The sequence below is a fragment of the Homo sapiens genome, chromosome 3 (genome assembly GCF_000001405.40).
Source record: "Homo sapiens chromosome 3, GRCh38.p14 Primary Assembly".
Classification (NCBI taxonomy): Eukaryota; Metazoa; Chordata; class Mammalia; order Primates; family Hominidae; genus Homo; species Homo sapiens.
The window spans coordinates 171,626,861-171,642,641 of record NC_000003.12 but is presented as its reverse complement, the minus strand read 5'-3'; the positions used below and the strand labels follow the sequence as shown (position 1 = coordinate 171,642,641).

At 35.7% G+C, this 15,781-nt stretch overlaps 1 protein-coding gene across 11 annotated transcripts in view; it reads left to right on the top strand.

Annotated features, from left to right (window-relative positions):
• PLD1 (phospholipase D1) overlaps positions 1 to 15,781 on the top strand; it is a 210,080-nt gene that overhangs the window by 167,842 nt on the left and 26,457 nt on the right. The window lies entirely within an intron of this gene.

Below are 15,781 nucleotides of genomic sequence, written 5' to 3'. Positions count from 1 at the left end.
GTAATAAAAACCGAGCATCTTTGTAATTTCTATTTATTTTTATTTATATATAGTTGTTTTAATAATAACAATCATCTTTATGAGGTATTATAGTTGTTTGTTCTTCTTTATCTACTGGATACAATTTTTTATACTTTTCAAAGACACTTTCGCAGACGTCTTTTTTTTTTTTTTTTTTTTTTTTGAGACTGGGTTTCATTCTTGTTGCCCAGGCTGGAGTGCAATGGTGTGGTCCCAGCTCACTGCAACCTCCGCCTCCTGGGTTCAAGCAGTTCTTTTGCCTCAGCCTCCCGAGTAGCTGGGATTACAGGTGTGCGCCACCATGCCCAACTAATTTTTTTGTATTTTTAGTAGAGACGAGGTTTCACCGTGTTGGCCAGGCCTGTCTAGAACTCCTGACCTCAGGTGATCCACCCGCCACAGCCTCCCAAAGTGCTGGGATTACAAGTGTGAGCCACCATGTGCAGCCTCAGATGTGTTCTTAATTGATTCTTCTACCTAGTTCTTGGCTACAATATATTGTAACTAGGGGTTTACCTATCTATAGCTCCCTGAACTATGGGTTCAGCATATAGTGGGCACTCAATATTGCTCTATATCTCTGTGCTCTATATCTTTGCTCTATATCTTTGTGTATCATTACAAACTAAGCTGGAATCAGAACCCAAGTTGTATGACTTCTAGTTCAAGTTGGGTCCAGATTGTGAAAACGTGGACAGCCACACTAAGAAGGCTAGGTTTTATCCAGAAGGCAAGAAGAGGTTGGTGGAAACCCTCTGAGCCCCTGGAGCAAATTCATCAAACTGACGTTTATATGAAGATTCATTTACTGTTGGTAAACAGGGTAGAGATGGTGGCAAGCAAGAGACAAAGGTGCACTGGTAATGGAAAAGGAGGATCATGTGTGGGTAAGATTATGAGGGATGACTTGAGGGGATGTGGAAGCAGGAGAGGAAGGGAAGTGTCAGCTAATTCTGAGTTTCAATCCAATGGACCAAGAGAATGGAGCTGCTGCAGGAGGTCTGGAAAAGGCAGAAGGACTCATCCTAATCATGTGAAGGTCATGATATGACCTTCAGATAGAATATAAACCTGAATTGAGTATTTTGAAGGAAGTTTTTATTTTATACTGGTAGCCTCCCAAATGGGGTGCACTGGATGATGTACTGGAATGTGGGTAGAAAATAATAGACTTTCCAAGTCTGTATATTTTTAGCTTAAAAGTAAGAAATTAGGACATCAGCAGGAATGGCAGAGGAAGGATCTCCAAAAATATAGTCCTACATAAAAGCAACAAAAATACTGACAAAAGTTGTCACAATCAACTTCTTTGGATGGGGAAATTAACTAAAGGCTTGTAACAATCCAAGGAGTGTTTAATCAAGAAAAACAGCTGAATCTTGGTAAGAATAGCAAGCTTTGTGGCATTTTAACTTGCCATATACCCATCTCCCTCTTCTCAGCTCCATGATAATCTTAAAAGCCAACAGCTGCTCAAATCAGGGTGAAAACCAGCAGCCTAGCAGCCATTGGAGGGAGCAGATCAGGGTTAAGGCTCCCATGTCCCACAGTTCTCACATTGTCATTATTTGACCTGTCTGGCACTTCCCTTTAAACTCCCATTCTAAGTACTTATATTTATTTCACCTGACTCAGACCTTGCTCAGTGCAAGTAGACTTTTTAAAAAACCTGGTATTTATCAAAAACAATCAGCAACATTTATTTAGCATCACAGCTGACTGAAGAGGCAGTAACAGTTGAGTGAGCAAGAAGCTGACTAAAAATCTTAAGAGGATAAGCTGAGGAAGGAGATCCCCTAGTGGGCACTAGAAACTTCCAACATATCCCTGGGAATCTGAAAGGTCATGGGTCTGTGTAGGGCTGTGTGCAACGGCCCAGGGCAATGCACGTGCTCAGGAAAGGATTGAGAAGGCCCTAAGCTCTCACCTCTGGCTGACCTTGAGGCTCTGTGGAAGCAGAAAGTGAAGCCTAAGGCAGAGTTATAAACTGCATGCCTGAGCATGTAAGGCCTGTGGCCCTCACACACATACACAGAGCCCCTCAGTAAAGTATAAGAAACTCATTTGGTACAGGCATTTAAGGAATTGTATAAAGTATGTTCTCTGACCACAATGGAATGAAATTATAAATAACAAAAGGAAATGTTGGGAATTCACAGATAGGTGGAAATTATACAATATACTTCTAAATAACCAAAGAATCAAAGAAGATACTTCAAAGGAGAGTAGAAAATATTTTGAGATGAATGAAAATGAAAACAGCATATCCAAACTTATGAGAGGCAGCTATAGCAATGCTTACAGGGAAATTTATAACTATAAACATTTATATTATTTAATAGAAAATAAGAAATCTCAAATCAATAACCTAACCTTACATTTTAGGAAAGTAGAAAAAGAAGAGAAAACTAAACCTAAAGCAAGCAGAATAAAATAAATAACAGAGATTGGAGGGGAAATAAATGAGATAATAGAAAAAAATAGAGAAAATTAGTGAAACCAAAAGTTAGCTTTTTGAAAAGATCAACAAAGTTGACAAACTTTAGGTGGACTGACTAAGTAACAAATAGAGAAGATTCAAAGTACCAAAATCAGAAACTAAGAGGGGACATTACTACTGACTTTACGGAAATAAAATGGAGTGTAGAATACTATGAACAGTTGTATGCCAACAAATTAGCCCAGATAGATGGACAAATTCCTTTAAAGACATTGTATTAGTCAGGGTTCCCTCAAGAAACAGAACCAATAGGAGATATATATATATATATAGAGAGAGAGAGAGAGAGAGAGAGAGAGAAATTATGTAAATATAACTTCTCAGCCTCCATAATTACCTGAGCCAATTCCTCATAATAAATCTTTTCATATATATGAAAGATATATGTATGAATATATGTTTATATATTTATATAATATATATTATATGAATAGGTATTATATATAATATATATTATATGAATATATATTATATATAATATATATTATATAGAATATATATTATATATAATATATATTATATGAATATATATTATATGAATATATATTATATATAATATATATTATATGAATATATATTTATATAATATATATTATATGAATATATATTATTTATTATGTATTAAATAAAATATTTATCTATTAAAAATGAATATATTATATCTAATTTATATAATTTTATATAATATATAAAATATAAATTAAAAATTATATATAAATATATAATTTACATGTATATTTATATATCCATCTATATAATATATATTCATATATATCTTTTATTTATATGAAAATATTTATATATAGATAATATATGATATATTTATATATAGATAATATATGATATATTTATATATTACTTATATGTTATATATTATAAATATATGTATAGATATATATTTTATGTGCTATATATAAATAATATATAAAATTGTATATTATATATTATATATTTATATATCTATCTTTCATATATATATATGAAAAGATTTATTATGAGGAATTGACTCAAGTAATTACGGAGGCTGAGAATTTCCACAATCTGCAAGCTGGATACCCAGGAAAGCTGGCTATGTAATTCCCATCCAAGTCTGAAGGCCTCAGAATCAGAGGAGCCAATGGTGTTAATGGTAGTAAAAGGGTAAGAGCAGACCGAGATTCCAACAGAAGCAGAAAAGCAAGAATCAAAAGGCATGAATTCTTTTTCCATCTGTCTCTTGATCTCCTCTGGCCCTCAATGGATTAGATGATGCCCAGCAACATTGGGGAGGGCAATCTACTTTAGTGAATCCACGAATTCAAATGCTAATCTCATCCAGAAAACCCCTCACAGACACACTCAGAAACAATATTAAACTGGGCACCTCTTGGCCCAGTCAGATTGATACATACGATTAATGGTATTGTATTAAAGACACAAACTCCCAAAACTGCTTCTAGAAAGAGCTGAAATTCTAAATAGAGCAATAACAAGTAAAGAGATTAATTTAGCAATCAATAATCTTCCCACAAAGAAAAGCCCTGGCCCAGTGGCTTTGCTAATTAGTTCTACCATCCGCAATAGAATTAACACCAATTCTTCACATACTTTTCCCCAAAAATAGATAGGAGAAAGGAATACAGTTATGTGTTGCATAATGACATTTCAGTCAACAACAGATTGCAGCATGATGGTGGTCCCGTAAGATTATAATGGAGCTGAAAAATTCCTATCACCAAATGATGTCACAGTCATACCCATGGCATGGTACAATTATTTTATTTTTAAATAAATTTAAAAATTTAATGTAGCCTAAGTGCGCAGTGTTTATAAAGTCCACAGTAGTGTACAGTAATAGTTTAGACCTTCACATTTATTCACCACTCACACCCAGAGCAACTTCATTCATGGTAAGTGCTCTATGTAAGTGTATCTTTTTTTTTTTTTTTTTTTTTTTGAGACGGAGTCTCGCTCTGTCGCCCAGGCTGGAGTGCAGTGGCGCAATCTTGGCTCACTGCAAGCTCCGCCTCCCAGGTTCATGCCATTCTCCTGCCTCAGCCTCCCGAGTAGCTGGGACTGCAGGCGCCCATCGCCGCACCTGGCTAATTTTTTTTTGTATTTTTTTAGTGGAGATGGGGTTTCACTGTGTTAGTCAGGATGGTCTCTATCTCCTGACCTCGTGATCCACCCACCTCGGCCTCCCAAAGTGCTGGGATTACAGGCGTGAGCCACCGTGCCCAGCTGGTTAAGTGTATCATTTTTGATCTCTTATACCATGTTTTTACCATGCTTTTTCTATGCTTAGATTCACAAATACTTGCCATTAAGTTACACTTGCCTACAGTATTCAGTATAGTATCATGCTGTACAGGTTTGTAGCCTAGGAGCAATAATCTATACCATATAGCCTGGGTATGTAGTAGACTATATGATTTGTGTAGTAGGTTTGTGTAATTACACTTTATGATGTTCAAACAATGACAAAATCACCCAATGACACATTTCTCTCACATTCTCATTAAGCAATGTATTACTATACTTCCCAACACATTCTAAGAGTCCAGTATTATCCTGATACCAATACCAAGGTCATTATAAGAAAAGAAAAGGACCAGGCATGGTGGCTCACACCTGTAATTCCAGCACTTTGGGAGGCTGAGGCAGGTGGATCACGAGGTCAAGAGATCGAGACCATCCTGGCCAACATGGTGAAACCCATCTCTACTAAAAATGCAAAAATTAGCTGGGCGTGGTGGCATGCACCTGTAGTCCCAGCTACTCGGGAGGCTGAGGCACGAGAATCGCTTGAACCCGGGAGGCTGAGGTTGCAGTGAGCCAAGATTGCACCACTGCACTCCAGCCTGGTGACAGAGTGAGACTCCGTCTCAAAAGAAAAGAAAAGAAAGCCACAGATCAATCAGATCAATATTCCTTGTGAATGTACCACAGAATTCCTCAGTGAAATACTACTAAACTGAATCCAACAATATAAAAAGGATTATACATCATGACCAAATGGGATTTTTCCCAGGAATGCATGGTTGGTTTTAACATCTGAAAATCAGTCAGTGTAATGCATCATGTTAATAGAACAAAGGACAAAAACCACACATAATCATCTCATTGACACAGAAAAATTATTTGGCAAAATCCCAAACACTTTCATAATTAAAACAAAACAAAAAAACCTCAACAAACTTGGAATACACAGGAACTTCCTCAGCCATGTAAATGGTATGTGTAGATGTCACATATAAGCTGACATCATACTTAATGGTGAAAGACTGAAAGCTTTCCCCTCTATGATCAGTGATGAGATGAGAAAGTTCACTTTTGTCAACATCGTACTGGAGGTTTTAGCCACAACAGTTGAGCAAGAAAAATATACATTTTTTAAAGGGAAAGGAACAGGAAGAGTAAAACTACCTCTTTTTATAGATGACATGATCTTGTATGCAGGAAATTCTAAGAAATTCACACATACTATTACAGATAATAAATTAGTCTAGCAGTGTTTCAAGATACAAGATGAGTATACAAAAATCAATTCACTTTTATACTCTAGCAATGAGTAAACTGAAAATGAAATTAAGAAAACAATTCGATTTAAAATAGCATCAAAAGAATTAAATATTTAGGAATAAATTTAATAAAGGTAGTGGAAGATACCTACGCTGAAAATAATAAAACCTTGAAAGAGATTAAGGAAGATATAAATAAATAAATACTCTGTGTTAATGGATTGAAAGACTTAGCATTGTTAAGATGGCAGTACTCTCCAAATTTACCTATACATTCAACACAATCCCTACCAAAACCCCAACTACCTTTTTGAAAAAATTGACAAGCTAATCTGAAAGTTCATGTGAAATTTCAAGGCATTTAGCATTGCCAAAACAATCTTGAATAAGAACAAATTGGAGGTGTCACATACGTGATTTCAAAACTTGCAGTAAACCCACAATAATAGTGTGCTACTGACATAAAGTTAGACTTACAGGTCAACTGAATAGAGTCGAGAATCTAAAAATAATTCTTATGATTATGGTCAATTAAATTTCAGCAAGGTGGTGCCAAAACAATTCAATGGAGAAAGAATAGTCTTTTCAGCAAATGGTGCTAGAAAAACTAGATATCCACTTGCAAAAAAAAAAAAAAAAAAAAAAAAAAAAAAAAGAAGTTGAACCCCTACCTCATACCATATACAAAAATTCACTCAATATGGATCAAAGGCCTAAATGTAAAAACTAAAACTATACATTTCCCGGAAGAAAATAATAGGCATAAATCATTGTGACAATGGCTTCTTGGATTTTACACCAAAAGCACAAGCAAACATATAAAAATAGATAATTTAGATTTCATCAAACATGAAAGCTTGAAAGCCTTTGTGCTCCAATGAACATTATCAAGGAAGTGAAAACACCCCACAGAATGAGAGAAAACCATTTGCAAATCATATGTATAAGGTACTAGTGTACAGAATATGTAAAGAATTCCTACAATTCAGTAATAAAAATAAAAATAACTCAAAAAATAAAAAATGGGCAAAGCAGCTAAACAGGTATTTTTCTAAAGAAGATATTCAACTGGATGATAAGTACATAAAAGAAAACTCAATATCACTAGTCACTAGAAATTCAACTCAAACCCACAATACAACCTCACAGCTTCACATTCACTAGGATGGCCATAATAATAATAATAATAATAAAGTATTGGCAAGGATGTGTAAATAGTGGAACCCTAACACATTACTGTTGGGAATGAAAAATGGTACTGCTTCTTTGGAAAGCCAGTTTGGCATTTCTGCAAAAGTTAAATATAGTTAGCCTATAACCCAGCAGTTCTACTCCTTAACATTTACCCAAATATTAAAAACAAATGTCCACACAAAAATCTGTACATGAATGTTTATAGCAGCATTATTCAGAATAGCCAAAAAGTGGAAACAACCCAATGTCCATTAACTGATGAATGTATAAACAAAATGGGGTGTATCCATACAGTGGAGTATTATTTAGATGTAAAAAGGCATGAACTGACATATACTACATCACAGATGAACCTCGAAGACCTTACACTAAGTGAAAGAAGCCAGGCACAAAAGGCCACATATTGTCTGGTTTCATTTTTATAAAATGTCTTCAATAGGCAAATCCATAGAGCCAGTTGGTAGAATAATAGGGTGTAGAGGAGAGTGGAATGGGGTGTAACTGTTAATGAGTGTGGGGTTTTTTTGGGGGAGTGATAAAAATGTCTTAAAATTAGGTGGTGGTGATGGTTGTACGGCCTTGTGAATGTACTACTTATAAAACATACTGATTTGTACACTTTAAAGACGAGAATTTTGTAGTATAAAATTTATAAATTGTAAGAATTTTTAAATGATTTGGAAACTTTAAATACAAATTTAAAATATTGACAAGTTAAAATAGTGACAAGTTTTTAGTACATGTATATAATTTCAAAATAGGCATATGTACATATATTGGTGTTGTGTGTTCAGTAATTTTTCACTGATGGTCTGCTCAACCTACAAAACTTTTGTAAGCAACTTTAGACAAAAGATATGTACATCACCAATAATGAATACTTCCAAAAGTTGCATCTCATTGTATCTAGGACAGAGATTTGCCAGAGTATTATCTCTGTCTCTATTTTCTAATGGCCTAAAATGAAGATGATAGTGAATTAGTAAATTTATAAAAGATATATCGATAAAATAAAATCGGGAAAATCATTCAGCGCTGGCAGTGGCTTGTAAAAATGCGCAGGTGAGGATATAGGGCAAAACAGCTTATTATTGAGTTTCTCAACAGTAAAAATGTCCTGAGCTTATTATAAAGTATTTCCTTTGGCTCTGGACCCTTTTCTTGCCTTTGCCTATTCAAGGGTGCAAATTGGTTTTTAACACAAGAATTAATTTCAATGCTAAGCCTGTTTATGAAAAGATTTCCAAGTACCTTGGGAACAGTCAAAATAAGGCATCTCAGTGGGGAAAATGTTCATATGCTAGACAGAGAGCAAAGATTAATTACATAATGCCTGTTTCTAAAGTACAAGGTTGTATTGTTGGCTTTGTTTTTGTATATGTAGTGGTTTTAAATACATGAACTAGCTAATCTCTAATTGGATAGAGAAATATAGTTCTCTACTGTTTTAATTATTTAGAATAACAAAACTGCTGCTATGAATATGTTAAAATTCCTGAAAAGAAAACCAGCAGCTATTAGTATATAATTATCTGATATACCAGTCTTCAGAGATTTAATGTTTAATTTAAAGCATTTCTTTGTTGTTTTTATAATTTTTGTTAATTTTGGTATTTTAGCAGCCAATTTAGTATAATTTAAGATAAGGGCCAGAAGTTTTCAATCAGGATTAGATACGTACATATACTAAGTGCTACAAGGAACGAAAGCCTGTAACAATTCTTGATGTCCTTTCACGAAATTTCCTTATAAATATTGAGTCTATTGTATTGAATTTCTCTTCTTTTTTTAATTATACTTTAAGTTCTGGGGTACATGTGCAGAACGTGCAGTTTTGTTACATAGGTATACACATGCCATGGTGGTTTGCTGCACCCATCAACCCATCACTTACATTAGAGATTTTTCCTAATGCTATCCCTCCCCTAGCCTCCCATCCCCGCAACAGGCCCCGGTGTGTGATGCACACACCAATGTTCACAACAGGTATGTCCTGGGATCTGAATAAATCTCCAGGTTCTCAGATACCTCCATGGCATTATGTAATTTGGGACTCTTTCTTATACTTGTTCATCTATTTCTTCACATTAATGCTTATGTATGCTCCTGGCTTGCTCATATTTTCTTCAAAAAGCATATGTTTCTCTAGTATATCCTCATAACATAAATTAACATCACCAACCTTTGTACCTATTACATGTCAAGGCAGTTTTTTTCACAGAATAAAGTACTGGCTGAAATATTTTCTCTATTTGTTTTTTCTTCTTTCCGTATAGAGTTCATGGTGAATTTATTCACATCATAAATGGGTGTCCCCATAGCATTTGACAGGCCACACTCGCATTTGTCCAAAATGTCTACTTTCTGGCTAGGAACCATTATCTTTCTTTTAGATCATGTTACTGGAACCAACTGTTAGGTCTCTTCCCAAGGCCATTTTTCACAAAGAAATAAAGATTTAATTACTTCGTAAGAGTTATTGCATAGTCAAGGATGAGTGGGAAGTAGGTATGGACTGTGGGCTGACAGGATGTCTTACTAATTGATGTTTTGCTGATACTCTGTAGGCCTGCTTTGGCATGGCACATAGATGTGCTTTAGAAAATTACGAATATGACATGTCCTAAACCTTCAAGCTGCTAAAAGCTAGTCAGTATCATTAATCTTAAAAAAATTAATTTTGAAATAATCTCAAATTTATAGAACAGCTTCCAGGACTGCCATATATCCTTCATCCTAATTTCACAGATGTTATAATAATTTTACTTTCTTTGCTTTATCATTCTCTCTCAATAGAAAGATACATTCATATATAGATGTAGGGATTTTTTTTTTTACCCTGAGTCATTTTGGAATAAGTTGCAGCCATGATACCAATTTCCCCCTAAATATGTATGTGGTTTCTGAGAAAACAAGGACATTCTCTTAATCAAGTATAGTTCAAATATCAAAATAAATGAACATTGATATAATACTATTATCCAGTTTATAGACCTTATTGAAATATTGCCAGTTGTCTTAGGAATGTACTTCATAGCAAAAGAGGAAAAAAGGCTTTTTCCTAGGCTAGAATTCAGCTCACAATAATTTGTGACATTGTCACATGTCTTTATTTTCCTTTAATCTGAAATTATCTTTCAATCATTTTGATTTTGGGGGGTGGCAGAGCTTTCATGATCTTGATGTTTTTGAATAGTACAGGCCAGTTGCTCTATAGACTGTCCCTCAATTTGGGTATGTCCATTATTTTCTCATGATTAGATTTAGCTTATGCTTTTTTGGAGCAGTATCACAGAAGTGAGGTTGTGTTCTTACGGTAACATAGCAGGAACAACCTTACTGGTTATATTAACTTTGATCACTTAGTGAAGGTGGTGTCTGCCAGAATTCTCCACTATTTTTCCCTTCATAATTAATAGTATTTTGTAGGAAAACACTTTAGGTGTATATAAGTATCCTGCTTCTTATCAACCATTGACCTCCTGGTTTTAGCATGCGTTAATTATTCTGTGAATCAATTATCATGATAGTTACCAAATGCTGACTTTGTGATTCCATCATTTTTTTCTATATTTATTAGTTTCTTTTAAATTAATTAGTTGGAATTCTACTGTAAGGAAAGTTTTCCCTTTTTCCCCATTTATGTATTTATATTAGTATGGACTTACAGCTGCTTCTCTTATTTAGTGAGTTAAGATCTTGGAGTTCAGCTTGCCCAGATTTGGCCAATGAGGGCCTTTTAAAGGTGGCTTGATGATTTTTGGACATGTCCCCGCTAATCATCTTCTTTTACTGGCACAACAAGGTGTCCCAGACTCATATATTCCCAACACTAGCCCTGCAATCAGCCATTTCTTCAAGGAACCTAGGTTATTTTAGCGAAAAATGGTATTTATAAAGCAAAATCTGGGTGCTAGATGTGATCATTGCTACTAGAATATCACTACTTTGGGCCTTTGTACACACACACAAACCTATTCTCTCTCTTTCTTGTCATGTGGATATCTCCAATTCCAATCCCACAGCATAGGATTCCTTCTAGCTATCCCTCTTTTTATGTTTATAGCTCCTTTCTTTCACAGTGAGAAACACGGCTCCCATTATCCGCAGCATATTTATGTATATCCTCAACCTTTTAATACACAGAAAATAGGTTTGGGATTGCTGGCCCATACCACCATGAAAAATGAATCTACTTACTAGAGTTTAACACTTGCTTATAGTGTTTTGCCTTTAGCCTAAGGGTATACACTCAAATGTCTGTAATCAAAAGTAGTTTGATTACATTGTTAACTTGATTTGCTTGGATTATGTTATTAACTTCATTAGGTTTGGTTCATTTACTTTGGTTTATATTACATTTCAGAGTTTTTTTTAATTATTCAGCCTTTATTTTATTTTATTTCATTATTATTATACTTTAAGTTTTAGGGTACATGTGCACAATGTGCAGGTTAGTTACATATGTATACATGTGCCATGCTGGTGTGCTGCACCCATTAACTCGTCATTTAGCATTAGGTATATCTCCCACGGCTATCCCTCCCCCCTCCCCCCACCCCACAACAGTCCCCAGAGTGTGATGTTCCCCTTCCTGTGTCCGTGTGTTCTCATTGTTCAGTTCCCACCTATGAGTGAGAATATGTGGTGTTTGGTTTTTTGTTCTTGCGATAGTTTACTGAGAATGGTGATTTCCAATTTCATCCATGTCCCTACAAAGGACATGAACTCATCATTTTTTATGGCTGCATAGTATTCCATGGTGTATATGTGCCACATTTTCTTAATCCAGTCTATCATTGTTGGACATTTGGGTTGGTTCCAAGTCTTTGCTATTGTGAATAGTGCCACAATAAACATACGTGTGCATGTGTCTTTATAGCAGCATGATTTATAGTCCTTTGGGTATATACCCAGTAATGGGATGGCTGGGTCAAATGGTATTTCTAGTTCTAGATCCCTGAGGAATCGCCACACTGACTTCCACAATGGTTGAACTAGTTTACAGTCCCACCAACAGTGTAAAAGTGTTCCTATTTCTCCACATCCTCTCCAGCACCTGTTGTTTCCTGACTTTTTAATGATTGCCATTCTAAGTGGTGTGAGATGGTATCTCATTGTGTTTTTGATTTGCATTTCTCTGATAGCCAGTGATGGTGAGCATTTTTTCATGTGTTTTTTGGCTGCATAAATGTCTTCTTTTGAGAAGTGTCTGTTCATGTCCTTTGCCCACTTTTTGATGGGGTTGTTTGTTTTTTTCTTGTAAATTTGTTTGAGTTCATTGTAGATTCTGGATATTAGCCCTTTGTCAGATGAGTAGGTTGCGAAAATTTTCTCCCATTCTGTAGGTTGCCTGTTCACTCTGATGGTAGTTTCTTTTGCTGTGCAGAAGCTCTTTAGTTTAATTAGATCCAATTTGTCAATTTTGGCTTTTGTTGCTATTGCTTTTGGTGTTTTAGACATGAAGTCCTTGCCCATACCTATGTCCTGAATGGTAATGCCTAGGTTTTCTTCTAGGGTTTTTATGGTTTTAGGTCTAACGTTTAAGTCTTTAATCCATCTTGAATTAATTTTTGTATAAGGTGTAAAGAAGGGATCCAGTTTCAGCTTTCTCCATATGGCTAGCCAGTTTTCCCAGCACCATTTATTGAATAGGGAATCCTTTCCCCATTGCTTGTTTTTCTCAGGTTTGTCAAAGATCAGATAGTTGTAGATATGCGGCGTTATTTCTGAGGGCTCTGTTCTGTTCCATTGATCTATATCTCTGTTTTGGTACCAGTACCATGCTGTTTTGGTTACTGTAGCCTTGTAGTATAGTTTGAAGTCAGGTAGCATGATGCCTCCAGCTTTGTTCTTTTGGCTTAGGATTGACTTGGCAATGCGGGCTCTTTTTTGGTTCCATGTGAACTTTAAAGTAGTTTTTTCCAATTCTGTGAAGAAAGTCATTGGTAGCTTGATGGGGATGGCATTGAATCTATAAATTACCTTGTGCAGTATGGCCATTTTCATGATATTGATTCTTCCTACCCATGAGCATGGAATATTCTTCCATTTCTTTGTATCCTCTTTTATTTCATTGAGCAGTGGTTTGTAGTTCTCCTTGAAGAGGTCCTTCACGTCCCTTGTAAGTTGGATTCCTAGGTATTTTATTCTCTTTGAAGCAATTGTGAATGGGAGTTCACTCATGATTTGGGTTTCTGTTTGTCTGTTATTGGTGTATAAGAATGCTTGTGATTTTTGTACATTGATTTTGTATCCTGAGACTTTGCTGAAGTTGCTTATCAGCTTAAGGAGATTTTGGGCTGAGACAATGGGGTTTTCTAGATATACAATCATGTCATCTGCAAACAGGGACAATTTGACTTCCTCTTTTCCTAATTGAATACCCTTTATTTCCTTCTCCTGCCTAATTGCCCTGGCCAGAACTTCCAACACTATGTTGAATAGGAGTGGTGAGAGAGGGCATCCCTGTCTTGTGCCAGTTTTCAAAGGGAATGCTTCCAGTTTTTGCCCATTCAGTATGATATTGGCTGTGGGTTTGTCATAGATAGCTCTTTTTATTTTGAGATATGTCCCATCAATACCTAATTTATTGAGAGTTTTTAGCAAGAAGAGTTGTTGAATTTTGTCAAAGGCCTTTTCTGCATCTATTGAGATAATCACGTGGTTTTTGTCTTTGGTTCTGTTTATATGCTGGATTACATTTATTGATTTGCGTATATTGAACCAGCCTTGCATCCCAGGGATGAAGCCCACTTGATCATGGTGGATAAGCTTTTTGATGTGCTGCTGGATTCGGTTTGCCAGTATTTTATTGAGGATTTTTGCATCAATGTTCATCAAGGATATTGTTCTAAAATTCTCTTTTTTGGTTGTGTCTCTGCCCGGCTTTGGTATCAGGATGATGCTGGCCTCATAAAATGAGTTAGGGAGGATTCCCTCTTTTTCTATTGATTGGAATAGTTTCAGAAGGAATGGTACCAGTTCCTCCTTATACCTCTGGTAGTATTCGGCTGTGAATCCATCTGGTCCTGGACTCTTTTTGGTTGGTAAACTATTGATTATTGCCACAATTTCAGAGCCTCTTATTGGTCTGTTCAGAGATTCAACTTCTTCCTGGTTTAGTCTTCGAAGGGTGTATATGTTGAGGAATTTATCCATTTCTTCTAGATTTTCTAGTTTATTTGCGTAGCGGTGTTTGTAGTATTCTCTGATGTTAGTTTGTATTTCTGTGGGATCGATGGTGATATCCCCTTTATCATTTTTTATTGCGTCTATTTAATTCTTCTCTCTTTTCTTCTTTATTAGTCTTGCTAGCGGTCTATCAATTTTGTTGATCCTTTCAAAAAACCAGCTCCTGGATTCATTAATTTTTTGAAGGGTTTTTTGTGTCTCTATTTCCTTCAGTTCTGCTCTGATTTTAGTTATTTCTTGCCTTCTGCTAGCTTTTGAATGTGTTTGCTCTTGCTTTTCTAGTTCTTTTAATTGTGATGTTAGGGTATCAATTTTGGATCTTTCCTGCTTTCTCTTGTGGGCATTTAGTGCTATAAATTTCCCTCTACACACTGCTTTGAATGTGTCCCAGAGATTCTGGTATGTTGTGTCTTTGTTCTCATTGGTTTCAAAGAACATTTTTATTTCTGCCTTCATTTCGTTATGTACCCAGTAGTCATTCAGGAGCAGGTTGTTCAGTTTCCATGTAGTTGAGCAGTTTTGAGTGAGTTTCTTAATCCTGAGTTCTACTTTGATTGCACTATGGTCTGAGAGATAGTTTGTTATAATTTCTTATCTTTTACATTTGCTGAGGAGAGCTTTACTTCCAACTATGTGGTCAATTTTGGAATAGGTGTGGTGTGATGCTGAAAAAAAATGTATATTCTGTTGATTTGGGGTGGAGAGTTCTGTAGATGTCTATTAGGTCCGCTTGGTGCAGAGCTGAGTTCAATTCCTGGGTATCCTTGTTAACTTTCTATCTCGTTGATCTGTCTAATGTTGACAGGGGGTGTTAAAGTCTCCCATTATTATTGTGTGGGAGTCTAAGTCTCTTTGCAGGTCACTCAGGACTTGCTTTATGAATCTGGGTGCTCCTGTATTGGGTGCATATATATTTAGGATAGTTAGCTCTTCTTGTTGAATTGATCCCTTTACCATTATGTAATGGCCTTCTTTGTCTCTTTTGATCTTTGTTAGTTTACAGTCTGTTTTATCAGAGACTAGGATTGCAACCCCTGCCTTTTTTTTGTTTTCCATTTGCTTGGTAGATCTTCCTGCCTCCTTTTATTTTGAGCCTATGTGTGTCTCTGCACGTGAGATGGGTTTCCTGAATACAGCACACTGATGGGTCTTGACTCTTTATCCAATTTGCCAGTCTGTGTCTTTTAATTGGAGCATTTAGTCCATTTACATTTAAAGTTAATATTGTTATGTGTGAATTTGATCCTGTCATTATGATGTTAGCTGGTTATTTTGCTCGTTAGTTGATGTAGTTACTTCCTAGCCTCAGTGGTCTTTATAATTTGGCATTGGCATGATTTTGCAGTGGCTGGTACCAGCTGTTCCTATCCAT